This window comes from Homo sapiens, chromosome 16 (genome assembly GCF_000001405.40).
Source record: "Homo sapiens chromosome 16, GRCh38.p14 Primary Assembly".
Classification (NCBI taxonomy): domain Eukaryota; kingdom Metazoa; phylum Chordata; class Mammalia; order Primates; family Hominidae; genus Homo; species Homo sapiens.
The window spans coordinates 78,576,831-78,594,882 of NC_000016.10; the positions used below are offsets into that span (position 1 = coordinate 78,576,831).

General features: G+C 42.2%; 1 protein-coding gene across 2 annotated transcripts in view; it reads left to right on the forward strand.

The window, feature by feature from the left end:
• The window catches only part of WWOX (WW domain containing oxidoreductase), a 1,113,014-nt gene that overhangs the window by 477,177 nt on the left and 617,785 nt on the right, over nt 1-18,052 (forward strand). The window lies entirely within an intron of this gene.

Below are 18,052 nucleotides of genomic sequence, written 5' to 3' on the forward strand. Positions count from 1 at the left end.
TTAAAATAAATGCTGCCTTGGGTATCTTAATCCTTTCTCAAGATTCCTTCTAAGGCTAACATTTCTTTGCCATCCCCACACTACCATCTGCTCACTTTTATATATCTTGACCATTTTATTTTTCATCCCATCTTCACTCCATGTAATTAGTTAGCTATTGCTGCAGAACAAATCACCCCAAAATTCAGTGATTAGTTTATAGGTAGCCCCATTTCACCCATCTCATTCTATAGCTCAGGTTGAAAGTTGAGTCATGAATTGGGGAACATTCTTCTCTTGGTGTAAATTAGTCACCAGTGTCTCATAGGGTTGGGCTGAAACTTAACACATCCCATCACTTTGATTGGCTAAAGTCAGTTACATAACCAAGCCCAGCTTCAGAAGGGAAATTGTATGCCTTACAAGGAGGTGAGAGGATGGAAAATGAATATTTGCTGAACAGACTTTCTGTCCAGTTTGTTGTATTTGGTGGTGGTGCAGGGCAAATATATGTTTAAAACCTTGTTCAGATTTTTAGCTTTCTTCAGAACAGAGCTTTTAAAACTGAGCATTTGTCCCCTAAATTCCAGCACTGCGGCCATGAGTAAAGGGTGCCCTGACCACGAGCAAATCATTTAGCTGGCTCACCTTTCATGCAACCTTGAATTCACCAGGAAGGAAGTTCATGCAGCCCTGGGTATGATGCCCTAATTTTGAGCCAAGCCAGCTAGAGTTCAAGTCCAAACCATTCCACTTCCTAGCTTTGGGACGATGAACAATTTACTTATGCTTTCTGGGCTTTGGTTCCTAAATTATTTAAATGGGGATGATTACATACATTCATCATTTTCACCTTCTCAAAGACCTTCTGGACAATTCCCCAATTCATAGCTCTGGGAGACAGTGTGTTGACACTCTATTTGACCACATCTTCCTAGCAGTCTTGCGGAAGGTGCCACTTTGCGAACGATCTGTTGCTAGGTAATGTCAATGACATGACTTTCAGTTTAGCACATGTACAGATGACCTTGTTTGGGCTTGTGCCGTTGGTAATTCAGTTTCAGGATTTCCGTTTGACAGAATATATTCAAGGGTGGTTTCTTGCTATCAGTTGTACCCTTGTGGCCACAGTTTTTCCAGATAACCAAGACTCACTAATATTTTCACAAGAACATTTGTCACCTAGGTCCAGATTTCAGAGGAAAAAAGTATACCGCCATTGTTCTTGTATAAACTTTATAAAATATTTGGGGAACATCACTAGCCACCTGCTTCCGAAAGTACTTAGATACTGTGTCATCTTAATACAAGACACTATGCACTAATTAAGCTGTTGTTGATGCTTTTTTGCCTTTTTGACAATTAAAAATAATCTCATACCACTGGATTAGTCTCTTGCCTTTCAATTTTATGTTTATATACAAATATATGTGCATACCAAATTTTATATATATATATATATATATATATATATATTTTTTTTTTTTTTTTTTTTTTTTGGTCGGAGTCTCACCCTTTCACCCAGGCTGGAGTGCAGTGGCGCAATCTCGGCTCACTGCAAGCTCCGCCTCCCGGGTTCACGCCATTCTCCTGCCTCAGCCTCCTGAGTAGCTGGCACTATAGGCGCCCACCACCATGCCTGGCTAATTTTATGTATTTTTAATAGAGACAGGGTTTCACCATGTTATCAGGATGGTCTCAATCTCCTGGCCTCGTGATTCACCTGCCTTGGCCTCCCAAAGTGCTGGGATTACAGGCGTGAGCCACCGCGGCTGGCGAAAATTATATATTATACACACAAACATACACACACGCACACACCAAATTTAAAAAGACAGATACATAGGCAGTTGTTATGCAGTGTTTGAAATAAATTTATTGCCAGCTATGGGTCATTTGGAAAAAGATCAATATGATGCATCAACATAACAAGTAAATGGAAATGAATACAACCGCATGGTTTTCTGAAAGCACGGTTTCCTGCGCGGCTTCCAGAATTGCATCCCTGACATTTGGAACATGTGTTACATGCTACAGAACATCTGTCTGTGAACAGGTTAATGGGAAAGGTGCATCTCTACAAACAAATATTACCTGTAATGCTGTTGTAGCTTTGTTGATTGTTGATATTACTTATGAACTTTCTTGCTTTTCAGAAACCACCACCACAAAAGAGGCAGTAACATTAGTATTACATTATACATCTTAGGCATTTTTTTCCTTTGCCCTTTTCGTAGGTTTTTGTTTGTTTGTTTTTTCTTGTCAGCCACTTCATCATGTTTGGTCTCTCGTCTTTGGCTGTGTTTTTCTGTTTCTAGTTATTGTGGGTGTTAAAAATCACTTTAATGATTCAGCAATAATTAGGAAGTCCCTATTTGTGGGTGTTACTTTACTAACTACCAGGGATGAAAAGGCAGGTTTTGCTTTGTTATTACGTCACAGTTTCGTCAAGGAGATAAGTACTTAAATTGCAGTAGAGTGTGACAGCATATGTCGACGGTGTGAGTGATATGGAATAAGAGTGAGACAGGGAGGCAGGGCAGGCTCCAAAGGCGAAGAGATGTCTGAGCCAAATTGAAGGGTAAACTGAGTTCACCAGGCAAACTGAGGAAGGGTACTCAGGCTGAAGGATCATGGGAGGGGAGGAGCGTGAGTTCCTCTTAAGTGAATATAAACCAGGGGGTAGGAAACAACATGAGATGAGGCTGGCGAGAGAGAAGGATGCTAGGTGAGGTGCTGTGGTGCGCCAGAGACTGCGGAAGTGGCTTTCTAATTAAGAAACAGAAGCCAGGAAACTCCTGTACTTCAAGGTTTTGGAGTGGGAAAGTTGAGGAAATGTAAGAGATCATCTCTGTCTCTATCACATTACCGACGGAGAAGTGGGATAAGAACTATGTGTGTTTTCACTTCTTCTTTCTTTAGAGAAAACAAATATCATCTGCCTTGCTAGGTAGTTGTGAGAAATGAGGAGATAATATCTTTAAATCTCCTACGGTGATACCTGGAACATGATGGTGCTTGGGAAATGTCTCTTCTTCTGAAATGAGGCTGCCTCGAAGACTCACTGGAACCCAAGCAAAGTGTCTCTGCATTTCACTCCGAGCCATCGACTTCTGTTCTGAATGTTAAAATGCAGGTGGCTGTGAGGGAGTCTTCTGAGTCATGCCAGCGTTTAAGGCGCTTGCTCTTCTTTGTGCACATTCCTGCTTTTCTCAAAGCCTATTGAAAGCAAGGGCCATGTTTGCTGTTTTCTTTGACAGAGGAAATTTTTTTTTTTTTTTTGAGACCGAGTCTTGCTCTGTCACCCAGGCTGGAGTGCAGTGGTGCAATCTCGGCTCACTGCAACCTCCACCTCCCAAGTTCAAGTGATTCTCCTGCCTCAGCCTCTTGAGTAGGTGGGACTATAGGTGTGTGCCAGCATGCCCGGCTAGCTTTTGTATTTTTAGTAGAGATGGGGTCTCACTATGTTGCCCAGGCTGACCTCAAACTCCTGCAGTACAGTATTGCACCTTCCTCGGCCTCCCAAAGTATTGGAATATCCGGTGTGAGCCACTGCACCTGGCCTCCAACAGAGGATTTCAGTCAATGCTGAGCACCAATTACAGATTGATTGCCTCTGTGATTCCAGGTAAATAACCTTGTTGTGGAGCTGAGTCTTTCATCAAAAACAAGGACTCCTGGCAGATGCCCAGAGGCATTTATAAGCAGTCCCATCACGAACAAATTGCCAAATGCAAGGCCTGAACAAAAGACACAGAAAGGATTTCTTTATCGTAAGCACACTTCTCTACATTACCTTTACAATCCAACAACTCTGGTATTAGTAAATTATAGAAACAACTTTTGTAACACTATCTTGTTTGCAGAGTATATGAAAAATTTGAAGTTAAAATTCAGCTCCACGAATACTGCAGTGGTGAGAAAATGGCGACAAAGATTAGTCTTCTGTGAGAAGTCTGCTAATTATTCTTCATTTAATAATGCCATGTATGATGGCCTTCATTAGAATGAATTCTTCTCAACACCTATGCCTCTTTCACCTCAGACATGCCTTCTAATTTTCTTTGGTAGTGTCTGCCCACCCAGGTGGTAATTTCTGGTCATAAGTCTAATTTAGTAGCCAGCTAAAGGATATCTGTGAACCCTTCGCAAAGAGTAATCTATTGAAAAGGAACAACAAAAAAGTATATCTGTGAACTTATTAAATGACTTTAATCATATGAAAATCAGCCATCAGCCTTATTAGAGTGGTTGATTTTTTTTTTAATCTAAGAGCTTTCTTGGTTATTTTCTGTTCTTAATCATTGTTGTATATCCTTAATGCGCAGGACATGACACCGTATAACAAGTGTTTTAAAAATATTTACAATTCTGATCTTATAAAGGAAAAAGTTACATATGGTCCTTTGAACTAATTGCTAAAATGACACTACATTAATTAGATAATTAAGGGTCTTGAGCATGTGGCTATTGTATTCATTGGGCTGGAAGCCAACCTTTTCTATAGCTGAGAAAATGGGTTAGCATAATTCAAAATTCAATTGCTGTACCCTTTTTCATATGAATAGATAATACAGAATGAGCCTTAAATCTGGGTTGGAAAAACTAACAGGAACTGGTTTTATTTTAATTGAGTTTTAAAGCACTTCTAGGCCATCTCATTGTCTTTATAGTTTAACCCTTTGAAGTTGTGACTGCCAACGTGCTAGTCTTGTCGTCTTACACGTTAATGGTAATGATCTTTTTAGATTTATTGTGAACCTCTAGGAATGTTTTTTTTAACCAGTAAATGCACTGAAACATGGAATCAAAGTCTCTTTCCCGTGGGCCCCTTTTCATTGGGAATAAATGCTACCCATAGATTGAAGTAGTTTATACCAGTACATTTTTTAGGTGCCTTAACTTACCAAGGTTATTTGTCAGGAAAATTATCTCTTGTAACACCAGGTTCCCTACCTTTAGATGACAGGACTTAATACAAAAGTTTTCCCCATACCAACTAGTAGTGTAAGTTGATTTCATATCCTTTTATTTCATAAAGTTTTGCTTATCGGGTTTGTCATCCTCTATTTGAAATTAAAATGTGTGGTCTCGAGATGACCTTAAAGTATCTGACCCCCAAATCTAATCACTCCTAGCATCTGTGAAAATTGACAAATATGTCAGGTATAACTTGGGGCATCAAAACATTGTTTTAAATATTTCGTTTGTAGACAAGGCAAAGATCATTTTCAGGTTAGTCCTCTGAGAAGGAACGCTGGGTGCAGAAGCATCTTTGGTTTCTCTGCTCTATAATCGGCACTCATTATCTATGGGTTTATACGAGCAGAAAATGTACAGTTATATGTTCAGCACAAGTGAATTATTGATTGGATTTACGGCCAGAAGAATGTTCCTAAGTGGTCAATACATGGCCAAAGTGTGTCAGGTGAAGGTAAAAATCAAGTAAGATCTATACTTTTGATAGCAATTGCTGTTGGATTATGTTACGCTTGTCATCTGAGGTTACTGTTGAATATAGATAAAAATGTTAATTGTATTAATTTAGACAAGAATGTGGCTTCAATGAGTATTTCTTACAAAGTGGGAGTATCAATTTTTCTTAAATGTAGAGATTTAGTTTTTCAAAAATTATATTTTTTATATGACCTGACGTTGATTGGCTTGCCTACATTCTCTTTTGGTGTATGATGACAGTTTAAAAATTCGGATGCATTTTGCACAGAATTAAGACGTTATGTGCAATCCTTGTGTTTCTAATTATATGTTGATCAATGACACCTTTACAAAACTGTCATCAGTCTATTGGTGGTTGATTGGTCCAACCTTAGCCCGATACCTCTATCTCCGCTTAGTCATTCCTGGTGGGTGACTGATGACCCCTGCTTAACAGTAAACTTGTTATGCATAGGGTTGTTAGAAAAGTCTTCATCAATTTGAGCCAAACTGTGGCTCCCAGCTACTTCCATCAGGGGTCCTTATTCCACCCTTTGATTGCAAAATGCCCTGAAGACCTGGTATGTCTTATGTCAGTTACAAGAGGCCCTTCTAGTGATGTACCGGGAACCTCCTATGGGAACCAGAGCTCTGCTAATTTTGGGGACAAGAAATGATGAAAAGAAGTGCCTTGTTCTTGGGGCATCACAGTCTCATGACAGAGTGCATGTTGTCAAATGCGCGTTTAATCTTCTTAAGCTCAACTTCATGCAAGAGACCTAGGAATTCACAGAGTGAAGATGATTTCTCCATTCCCTTCTCCGAGCAGAGCTCTTGAAGAAGATGGGAGTTAGGAGAAGTGAATCTTTTGTTTTCGAAGCCTTTGTCCTTGTGAGTCTCTTAATTGGGGTGTCTTGTAATGCAAAGTCTTTAAAGATGTGTGTTCCTGAAACTCAGGAGGCTGCTCTATCCCATGGTTCAACCAAAGAACCAGGGCCAAAGCAGTGCTGAAGGAACAACTGATTCTCTTGGCCCTCCTTAGAGTGAGGGTACAACTGGCTCCAAAGGAAATGTTGGCACTTCCAGAGTAATTCTGACAGTACTCAGATTTGCTTCATGTACCCATTCTAGAACCTTACCTACTCAAGTGTAAGATGAGATGCCACTGTGGTATCTTCAAAGGAATTTAGAATCATGTCTTAATGGCTCCATTAAGAAGAATTCTTTTTCTCTTTTCTCTGAAAAGCATCCCAGGTCATAAAATGTAATGTGGGATTGTAGGTTTTGTGGGAAGATGCACTTGGCAGCAATTCCTTGAGAGGAGGCCTTGAAATGTCAGGGTCCCCCATTCATCTTCCCAAGCTGGGATTGACCCAGTGATAACATAATGATAATGCAGCTGCTTTCAATGTCAAGCCATCAGGCAGCGGGTTGGGGGGGTTGCTTGGCCCAGGAACCCGTGCCCTGATGTGGAGTTGGTAATCTAGAGGGTTTTGAGTTAAGTGCTTTTGACATGGAAAATCAGGAGCCAAGGGCGAAGCTGCCTTTTAAATGCTCTTTCTGAAAGAGTCCACTGCAGATGTAATTGAGCCTCTCAGGTGAAGAGCTTTATTCGAGCAAAGCTGGTTAGTGTTGCATACCTGTTTGGGGGAATATTTTAGGCATCCTCACAAAACTGCTATGTGACATTGCTGAAGGTCCCCAGCCTCCTTGCTCCCAAACACTTCAAGAAGGAAAATGCTGTTGCAGAAATGTTGTCTAAGCTTTACCATTCAGTGTGGCCCAGATCAACCTGTCCCTTCTTTTTGTGATCACAGTGTGTAATTATAAAGTTATTTGTGTGTTTGGTTTATGTCTTCCACACTGGACTGTAAGATCCATGAGATCTAGGACCACGTCTGTCTTGATCATTTCTCCTTCTCTAAGACTAACACAAGGCCTGGCATAATCATTGTCATCACCATCACCATAGCTAGTATTTATTGCCATATACAGTTATGTAAAACATTGTAAGAAGTGCTTTACATCAGTTATTCCCAACCATGGAGTCATGAGTCAAAGATGGTCAAATTGGCCAAGATGAAGGTGTTTGCATTTTGGAGACCAAGCACTTGAATCCATAACCCCAAGATGTGACTTTCCAGGCTTGGGATTTCGCAACACGTCGCTTAATCTCTTAGCTTACATTTTGTCATGAGTAAAACTGAAACAGTAATTCCCATGTGCTGAGTTTGCTGTGAGGATTAAAGACAAGGACTGTTCTAAGCCCGGCATATAACGGGAGCCCATTATAAGTGAACTGAGGTGTTATTTTAATATATACCTTTTAAAGTTTGAGTGTTAGGCATGCTGTTGAGTGAAAGAAGACAGACTGTTACCAGAGGACATATTCTGTTCTATGATACCACTTGTGTAAACGTGAAAAGCAGGCAGGAATTTTCCATGTGAGAGAAGTCAGAATAGCAGTTAGCTTACCAGGGGGTGGTGATCTTAAAGGGGCAGGAAGGAGCCTTGTGGTATGCTGGAAATTTTCCATTCATCTGGTGATGTGATCACTTGGCCGTGTGCACGTGTAAAAGTTCAAGCTATATGCTTAATATTTGTGCACGTCGGTGCGTGTAAGCAATATCTCAAAACATTTGAGAGAATTTCCCATTCATTGACAGAATTTTTCTCCCGCCTCGGTCAAAGCACACAGTGGGTTTTCCCAACAACTGAGGTGCCTGAGGGTTGGGTGCCAAAGAGGCAGAAAGGCCGAGATGACCGCTTGACCTAATTCCCTATTCAGCTGAGGCCTCCACCCCTGGCCTGTTCAAAGGCAGTTACGGATCTTTTACTCAAAACCTGAACCTAAAAAGAAATTCTTTAGCCATGTCCGTGTGAACTAAATTCAGCGTCAGATGTACAAGGCTGTGGTTCTGACCACCCCCGGGCTATTTCTGACCACAGGACAGCTTAAATGGTGTGGCCCATAAAATGTAATCTGCAAACTCAGGCTGAATGTTGATCTATTTAGGGCCAAGAGAAGACCAGGCCTTGGCAGCAGTTCTCCCTGAGGTAGGATCTTAGGTCGAATGGAGACCATCACCCTGGCTGCCAGCCCCAGGAGGCTGGAAATTCGTTAGCATTCTTTATCTTTGGGGATCGGCCACTTACTTGTGGGGTTGACTCTTACAGCCTTTGACCACCTCCCAAAAGCTGGATTCACTGATGGGCCCCCAACTCAACTTTCACTGGCCAAAGTACTTGGGGTTAATTTAGCAAACCCCAGGATCCCCAGAGGGTCCCTCGGTATTGTGGTTTTCTCCTCGCTTCCACCTTATAGTGGCTCCACCAGGACCTCTTGACTCAGCCAGCACTCCTTCTCAAGTCACTTCGCAGCACAATCCGTTTGTTGTTGCTGTTGTTTTTTCTTTTGTTTTGTTTTGGGTTTTTTTTTTTGTTTTTTTTTGTTTTTTTTGTTTTTTTGCCTAATTTGTGCTTGGCTTCTCCACAGAGGCCTGGTTCTGGTCCCTTCCCCTGCAACCCCAAGGCAGGGGGCAGATTCCCGTATCATGGTGCTCCTTGGCCTGATTCTGTGGCCTTTATATTAGAACTCACCTTCTGGAATCTTTTATTGTCTTGTTCTCTCTTCCAAGCTGCGCATCTTCCTTCCCTTCAGAGGTTTGGTGATCAGCGTGGTGGCTCGTTTCTATAATCCCAGCAGTTTTGGAGGCCGAGACTCGGGGATCCCTTGAGCCCAGGAGGTTAGAGACCAGCCTGGGCAATATAGCAAGATGTCATCTCTACCAAAAAACAACAACAACAAACAAACAGACAAACAAAATTAGGCCAGGTGTGATGGCTTATACCTGTAATCCCAACACTTTGGGAGGCTGAGGTGGGAGGATTGTTTGAGCCCCGGAGTTCAAGACTAGCCTGGGCAACATAGCGAGACCCTGTTTCTTAAGAAAAAAGAAACATTTAATTAAAAATTCAGAATTGGAAGTTGCATTGAGCCAAGATCATGCCACTGCATTTCAGCCTGGGTGACAGAGCAAGATTCTGCCTTTAAAAAGAAAGAGGTTTGGTGCCAGGACGCCATGAAATAATTACTCTAGGTAACCTGAGGCTAGACAAACCTCTCCATGTCTCAGTTTCCTTCCTGGCAAAATGGGGAGGTAAGGCCAGATTTCTTCTCCTTTAGTTTTGTTTTTCTACTTGAATTCTATTTGTCATCCTCTGTACCTACCACCTGCCAGTTGCTGTATTAGATGCTGTTTTACTCATTGTCTAATTGAATTCTCCAACAACCTTGCAATACGCTTGTTATCTCCATTTTAGAAACGAGAAAATGGTGACTCAGATTAAGAAACTTGCTCAATGTAACCAAGTCACAATTTTAATATTAAAAATAATGAGCATTTATTAAGTGCCTGTTGAATGTGTAGGATTTTGCTAAATCTTTCACATAATCTCATTTCATCTTTATCATAGCCCTTATGGTGAAAATGCCATTATTCTTTGACATAGAGGAATTTTGATTCAGGAAGGTTAAGTAATGTGCCCAGTATCATCTATGTATAATTGATGGGTCTATAATTTCAGACTCAGGTTTGTTTAAGTCCAAAAATCATGCCATTATGACTGTGTACCATGTTGCATGCCTTCATATCCCCAATGGAAAAATCCCTTCTCCCACTTTTCTTAACCCTACAAGATATGCCAAGATTCTATAGCATCTGAATTTGAAAACCTCTACTAATTCATGAGGCAATCTATTTGATAATGGCATGATTTAGTTAGTGTTCCTTTTTTAGAGATAAAGCCTCACCCTGTTGCCCAGGCTGGAGTGCAGTGGCGTGATCACAGCCCACTGTAGCCTTGACCTCCCAGGCTCAACCTATCCTCTTACCTCAGCCTCTTGAGTGGCTGGAACCACAAGCAGATGCCACCATGCCTGGCTAACTTTTTTTTTTTTTTTTTTTTTTTGTAGAAACAGAGTCTCTCTATGTTGCCCAGGCTTGTCTTGTACTGGGCTCAAGCAATCCTCCCATCTTGGCCTCCCACAGTATTGGGATTACAGGTGTGAGCCACTGCGTGAGGCCCAGTTAGTATTCTTTACATTTTTAAAATAAAATTTCAGAGAAAGCAACCAAAGGGAGCATAACTCTGATAAGAATAATAAAAAGAAACAATTCAGCAACTCTCTTACAGATTTTTATCATCATCCCATTCATAATTGATTCCAAACGTGCATGAATCTTTCAAGATAAGTGTCTTATTGATTATCCTGAAAACAAGCGATCACTTGGTGTCCTGAGATTCGCTCACTGCCCTCCCCTGATTACCGTAAACAGAGATGTTGATGAGAAGAAATGTCACTTTCTTTGGTGTTGGATCCATAGGACATTTTGAGGAATTGGGTGTGGGGAGTGGAGGGAGTGAAGTGACCCAGATAGGGAGGTGCTTGATGGCTTGACTGTGGCCTTCACCTTGCTTTTTGTGGAGCTGGATATAGACATTTGTTGGCCAGCTAATACTGTCTTGATCTGTTATATGATCCTTAGGCCAGGACTTTTTCCTGGTAATTGTGCAAAATGTCCCAGTGAATGCCAATTCCTTGCTGTCAGGAAACATTAAGTTTCCTAAGTGACATCCTTTTTCTGCATGTTTACTTATGGTTATGTAAATCAAGCGGGCCTCCCCATTGGAAATGATGGCAGTGGTTACAAGGGACTTCACCTGGTCTTTTGTAGTTGTGGCAAATAGATAAGATACAAATGTGACCTGCAATTCAGTTCAGCATTATGAAGCTGTATCTGCTCCCTGGGTGGTGGTCACAGCCCTGCTTTGTGGCCCTAACCCTTGCCTTCCTGCTGGCGGGCCTTGCACAGGTGCAGAGAGGGGGTTAGTATTGGCAAGCTAATTGGATAAATGGTGAAGTTTCCCCTGGGTGGCTCCATTGCTCCAGGTGAAGCTCTTGAAATACTCTGTAGATGACAATAGCCTCAAACTTGAACAGGTTCTTGCAGTTGGCAAACAGAAGGAGACCAGACTCATAGGTTTTGGGTGCGGATAATGGATAATCTGGCTATTGCATTTAATTCCCAGCCTGATTTATTGAGGCTGCCTTTGGTGAAATATTGATTTATATCTTGGGGGGCCAGGATGGGGCTACTCTGTACTCAGATGAGGCTTGCTCTCAGGAAGTTCTTGTTCAGCAGCAAAAATCTGCCCTGTTTGGGCTCTGAAAGTTATTTTTGTAGTGGCCTCACAAGTTTCTTGTAGCAGGTCATGAAGAGGAATGAAATACTATAATCACAGAGCTTGCAGAAGCTGCCTGGAGGACCAGTTAGTCTATTTTTTGTACATGAGGATACTGAGGCTCAGAGAAAGTGAGGTCATTGAGTCACTTGAGTTCTTGTTGAGTGTTCTTTCCTGCTGAGGTGTCCTAGGTGCCTCTTAATGCCTTTAACATCTGCTAAGAGTATGTCACTTATTGACGTAGCATCACTTTATTGAGCAGCTACTATGTACCAAACACTTAGCATATGCTTTTTGGCATTAGGAGCTGAACCCAGAGTGGTCTCTGTGGAGAGGTGCAGGTTTACCCAGGGTGGTGGTAGTGGTGATGGGGTGGTAGTGATAGTGTTGATAGAAGAAGAGGAGGAGGAGGAACTTCTCAGGAAGAAGTGGCAGTTCCCTCCTTTGTTTCTTATCTCTACTGTTTAGCAGCCACTCTCCAAAGCCTCTTGCTGGGAATGTGGCCATCATAGAAGTAAATGAGACATCTCTTTCATCTGCACCAACCTCCTTATTAAGACCTTATCAGTTACCTGTAGATTCTCCCACTGTTGTACTTGTTTCTCCCTCAACCAATTGTATTTTAGCTCTCAAGTTTTGGCAGGGTTGAGTCTAGTATTTCTGTTGGGATCCGGGGAGCATATGGAGTGTTGTTTGTTATTTTTTAGAGTTTCTTATTGCGGTAAGTGCTCAGGAGGGAACAGAGGGAGAAGGATAGAGGAAAAGCAAAGCAAAACAAAATAGAAAAGCACAAATGAAGAATATTTAGTCCATTCTGTATTAGTCCTCCTTGATGGGGGGACACATGCCAGCCAGGTTACCTGATTCATCTAGTTGTGATTTTATTGACAGTCATTTCTACCTTGTTGGTATCCGCAGAGGTTGTCTTGAAGGGGGCTGATGCCTTCTTTCACTAGCTTTATGTGGCTGGCAGTTCTGTCCTGCCACTCTTTTCCTCATCATCTCAGCCTCCCTGCCCATGGCACTCAAGAGTCCACCTTGGCAGAACCTGCAACTCTTCAGCGCCTCCCTAATGAACTCCTTGCAAGGGCCCTTGGTTAAGTTACAGTAGAGAAGTGGTTGCTTAAGCAAGTAGTTTCCGGTAAAGGCATAAAGATAGCCCATAATTGGGTGATAAAATACCTGGATTGCATCTAAAAATAAAGACTTGTGAAGGTAAAACTGTAGCTTACAGTGTGCGACTGTTTACCTTCTTTTGGTTTCTTCTCATTTAATAGGTTGGTCATCTCTCTGCTGGCTTTTTCCCCCTTTTTTCTCCCTTCTGTAGAATAACATGTGGACCATTAACTATGATGCTACTTCTTAGCTGCAAGGGGGGAAAAATGGAAAACTCCAGGGGAAGAGGGTCTTTACTTAGGGAGTTGGCATTTGTTGGAATTTCCCAAGAACATTTCATGATTAGTGACAGGTTATCTTCTAGTTTACCTGAAGGCTATGGTCACTCAACAAATTTTGTGTTGCTTCTTACGTGTCACGCACTGTGATAAGTCCTAGGATTATAGAAGTCAATAAGCTATGATGCCTATCCTTAAGGAGAGAAACACATATAGGATAGGAAAATAGCTTGCCATGTCTGATAGATATTAGGCATTCAGTCTCTCTCTCTCTCTCTGTTTATTATAGATAGAAATAAAAAAATTATAAATAGAAATTTATTTCTCGTGGTTCTAGAGGCTGGAAAATTCAAGATCAAGATGCAGACAGGCTTGGTGTCTGGTGAGGGCTGCTTTCTATCCTTCAAAAAGGCACCACGTTGCTGTGTCCTTATTTGGTGGAAGCAAGTGTGTTGAATATTCTAAGAGGAATCTGAAAGTGTTATAGTATTAAGGAAGACAGATCCAAGATGGTGGCAATGGTCAAGAAGGGTGCGGGAAGAACCCTTCAACTCTAATATTATTTGAGCTGCTCACTGATAAATAAATAGGATTTTCCCAGTTGGGGAAGAGGGAAAGGTTTTTAGGGAGCAGATTAGACAAGAAACATTGAAAACACAAAGTGTATTTCTTGATACTTGTTAACACTAGGTGTTGAGGAGACATAACCAAGTTCTCCTGCAGTTTGTGTGTTAAGGCAGATGGAAATGTCTTGTAACTCAGTAAAACAGTTTAGAAATTTAAAGCCTTTGGAGAGAGTAAGTATTGAGAAGGCACATCTCTACGTTGTTGACGTGAAGGAGTTGCAAGGTCGGGTAGATGGGATCAGTGCCAGGTCTAATGGGCTTCATTTGCAAGACCTAATTTCTAGCAGATCATGGTGTAAGCCTCAAATGGGAGGTGTGCCTGGGATGGTTGCAGAGGAGTTGTTAAGAGCTCAGACTCCAGCGTTTAGACAACACCAGCTGCTACAAAGGACACTGTGCATTTCTAAATCTGAGTTTCTGCACACGTATGGAGGAGTAATATGGCACCTCCTCATTTGGTTGAGATGCTCTGGGGTACACGTACAAGGCGCTCAACTCACGGTGGCTCCACCAGTATGAAAATGTGTTATCTGCCCTAGTCTGAAGTACAGAAGTCAGGTGGTGAGAGGTGACATGCCATGATGTGGTTCTGCTTCTCTGAGATTGTCTGTCAGCTTTTCCCTCAGTTTCACCCCCCTTTCTCCCTTTTTCAAGATGGTTTTAGCACTTCCAGACATTATAACCAGATAGCCTATTGCTAGAGAACAAAGCACCTTCTCTTCCTATATGTACCTCTTGGGAACAAGGGAACCTTTCCCCAAAGCCCCTCAACACACTTAGGCTGACATCTCCTTGACCAGAACTGTATCAAATTTACATAGCCTCAAATGAAGCATCTGGGACCACCAGGATTGGGTGTTTAGGCCATGGAAGAGTAACAGCCCAGTACACAACTGTCTCCAGTGGCCAGCACGTAGACCTTCCCTCACACTTTCCACTCTCTGCATCCCCTCTTCCCTCTCATGTATCTCTATTACATGGAGCCTCACTTTATAGTCCTCATTAAGAGACTGTGGGGTGGTAGACAGATAACAATGTTAACATCAGGCAAATGGGTTTTGGATTTAGGTTACCATCATTTATCTTCTCTGTAACCTTAGACGAGTTGCTTGAGTTCTCTGAGTCTCAGCTGACCAAGCTCTAAAATGAGCATAACCATATCAGTTTGTGTTTCCTGTTACAGGGAGAAAAGACTGAGATAACTAAAGTACCTGATTGAGTAACTGCTCTCTGAAGGTGGAGGCTGGACTGCTTCACTGGACAGGGTGGCCTGGGGTTATTCTAGTGCAGTGGTAGCTGGTGACAAAACTCAAAGAAGATGTAACTAGAGAAAAGGTACTCAGTGCAGCCTCTGTGAGCTACCACCACTGCCTCTAGTTTTCCAGAAAACCACCACTGACCACTCTCTGTACAGATGCGCTCAAGCGACCATAACCACCAGTGTTCCTAACAATGCGCCTATTGACTTCTTATTTCAATAGATATCCAGATTGATTATCCCTCAAGGTAAGCATCGATTTTACCTTTGTCTCAGTCAATATTTACCTCTGAGGTCAATACGTGTGGATATTCACCTCAGCTGCAGTCAATATCCATTTCGTATTACAATATATGATGTGCATATGTGAAAATAAAGAACAGCATGGTACAAAAAAGGTCTGCTAGGCAAAGAAGCTTTTTGCAAAGCGGATGTGTTTTTGTTTTATTTTTTGTTTGTTTGTTTTTACTGTGTCACTTTTTAGAGGTCAGATTCTATTTCACTAAATAGGACATATGTGTCTTCTGCCAAGATGTGGAATTTTGGCAAGGCTAGCATGATAACAAATAAACATTCAAGCAGTCACTTAATGATATTGAATTGAACACCATTTCTCAGAAGTTCCTGTATTAAATTACAACCATAAGAACATACACAAGCATGCAGATTGTAAGTGTGATGAGAATGGAAACATTCCATAGGACGCAGAGTTATTCCTCAAGCCCCTGGACTCGCAGAGAATCAGGTGTATGAAGCAAGAGGAAGAAGACAAGAATCAGGAGGCAAAGAGAAGGAGGAAGAAGCCTCAGTGGGGTTGCTTCTTTTTATTTCTTAGAGCCAGAGCTGGAAGACAAGGCCTGGCATATTTTGGCAGGCCTGGATCAGAGCCTAGGTGTGTAAATTAGGAATTGCATTTCGCTGCTGCTAACAAGGACCCAAACATGGTGGTAAATTCTTCCACATAAAACAACAGAAAATAAGTTGTTTTCTGGCCCTGGGCTGGGGTGGCCACTCCACCGTCATCGATGATCCGGGCTCCTTTTCTCTTTCTGCTTTGTGACATTGCTTCTATCTTCATGATAACTCGCTGCCCAGAATGACCAGGCAGCATGAAAACGAAAAGGTGGAGAGGGAACTAACTTCTTCCCTTTTGAAGAGCTTTCTAAGAAGCCCCACCCAACACTACTGCTTCTCTCCCAGTGGTGGTGATTTAGTTGCTTGAGCACAGATAGCTGCCAGGGAGGCTGGAAAGTACAGCCTTCAGTCCTAGCACCAATGTGTCTAGGCAAATACAAAAGCTCTTTAGCCAAGGAAGAAATGACAACGAATATTTGGGACCCACTGGGAGTTTGTGCCAAACCAGGTGTCATTGCCCTCCCCACCCTACCTTGCTCCCCTGGAGTGTATCCTGATTCTTTTGAGGATCACTTGATCCTGATTTTTTTTTTATGTGTATAGATGGGATTTCATTATATTGCCCAGACTGGTCTTAAACTCCTGGCCTCAAGCAATCCAGCCACCTCGGCCTCCCAAAGTGCTGGGATTATAGGCTTGAACCACCATCCCTGGCCTTGATACTGATATTTTATTGTCCTAACTGACAGTTTTGTCTGCCCAGCATTTTCCCCCATCACCCTTGTACTATCCCATTTTCCTTTGCCATGCACCTGTCTTCCTCTTCAGGATTGATCACAAAATCAAAACCATTCCTACCAGCCAGAGGTGGGCACATGACCCAGGTCAGACCAGTCACAGTTCCTGATTCCCGGCCACAGTGCATGATGGGGGAATGAGCATATATCAAACCAGGACAGTCCAAGTCCTTCCGGGGACTTTGCTGCCACAGTTGACAGGGGGAGGTATTTGCATAACTTCACCACACACAGCTAAGCTGGTGATCCTGCTGCTTGGCAGCATCTTCCCAGCGTACAACAGAGGAAAACTGCCTGTTGTAGTTAAAAAAAAAAAGAGAGAGAGAGAGAGAGAGACTGATACACAAAGAGAATCAGAAAGGAGTAGAGATGAAACAAAGATAGAGCTAGCATGATTGCAAGCTGAGGACATACGAGGAGTCCCTGGGTCAGCTGGGCCATACATTTGTAAGCTGTAGACAAACAAAAATGATCTTTGGGTTCCTTCTTTAGCAATTGGAGTTGGAGGAGGATGACCTTAGTTTGCGTCTTTGTCCCACTATCATTATATCCAACTTGTGTAATTAGAAACACTATTTAAGTCTCAGTTTCGTCTCCTGTCAATTGGGAAAATATCGTGAGGCGGAGATGTGAGATGTGATCACGTTTATAAAGTCTGCGGCAAGAGGATGATAAAGTCACTTCTCAACTCCTTCTCAACTCCTCCTCCTGGCTTATTAATGCCCATCCTTTAACCTGTCCTCTGCTTTATCTCTTGGAATCCTTAGGGCCTTTTTAACCCCATATACGAAGCAAACCTATGTGTATGTGTTTGTGTGTGCATCAATTCATATGGTCCTCTGCAGCCTTGCAAAGTCGATTCCTGACATTTCCGTAGACTGTTTTTTTTGTTTTCAGCAATACTCTCCAGCAGCAAAACCCAATCCGCTCATATTCTTGCATTTGCTGCAGCAAAACCTGACCTCTCTTTGTGTTACCTGAGTCTTGACGAAGAAGACTGAGGAAAGGCCCCCCCCCCCCCCCCGCCAAATTGTCCCGTTGTCTCTTGGCTGGTCTTGCCAGCTGGCACACAGCTTCCTCTGACCACCCTGCTAGGTACAAATCCCACATGAAAAGTCTCAATCACCTGGCTCAAACTCATAGTTTTCAGGTGGCATAAGCCATGGCATTTTCACCTCCTTTCCTGGTTGTTTCCAGAAAGGGATGATAGCCCCAGTGCAGTGGCTCTGTATTTCTCAGGGCAGCGTGGGACCTCAGGGTTTGTCATGGACCACACCTTTCTCCTTTGTCCCTTTTTATAACTCATAGGCTACCTCCAACTTGACACTTATTTAAGTTTTTATTTATTTTATTTAGCATTCAGAAAACTCTATAGCCTCAGTCTCTCGGGATGTAAATTAAAGCAATTTCATTTTCATAGTTTCTCTGTTTCAAATCCCTCATTGTTTATTTAAATAGCAG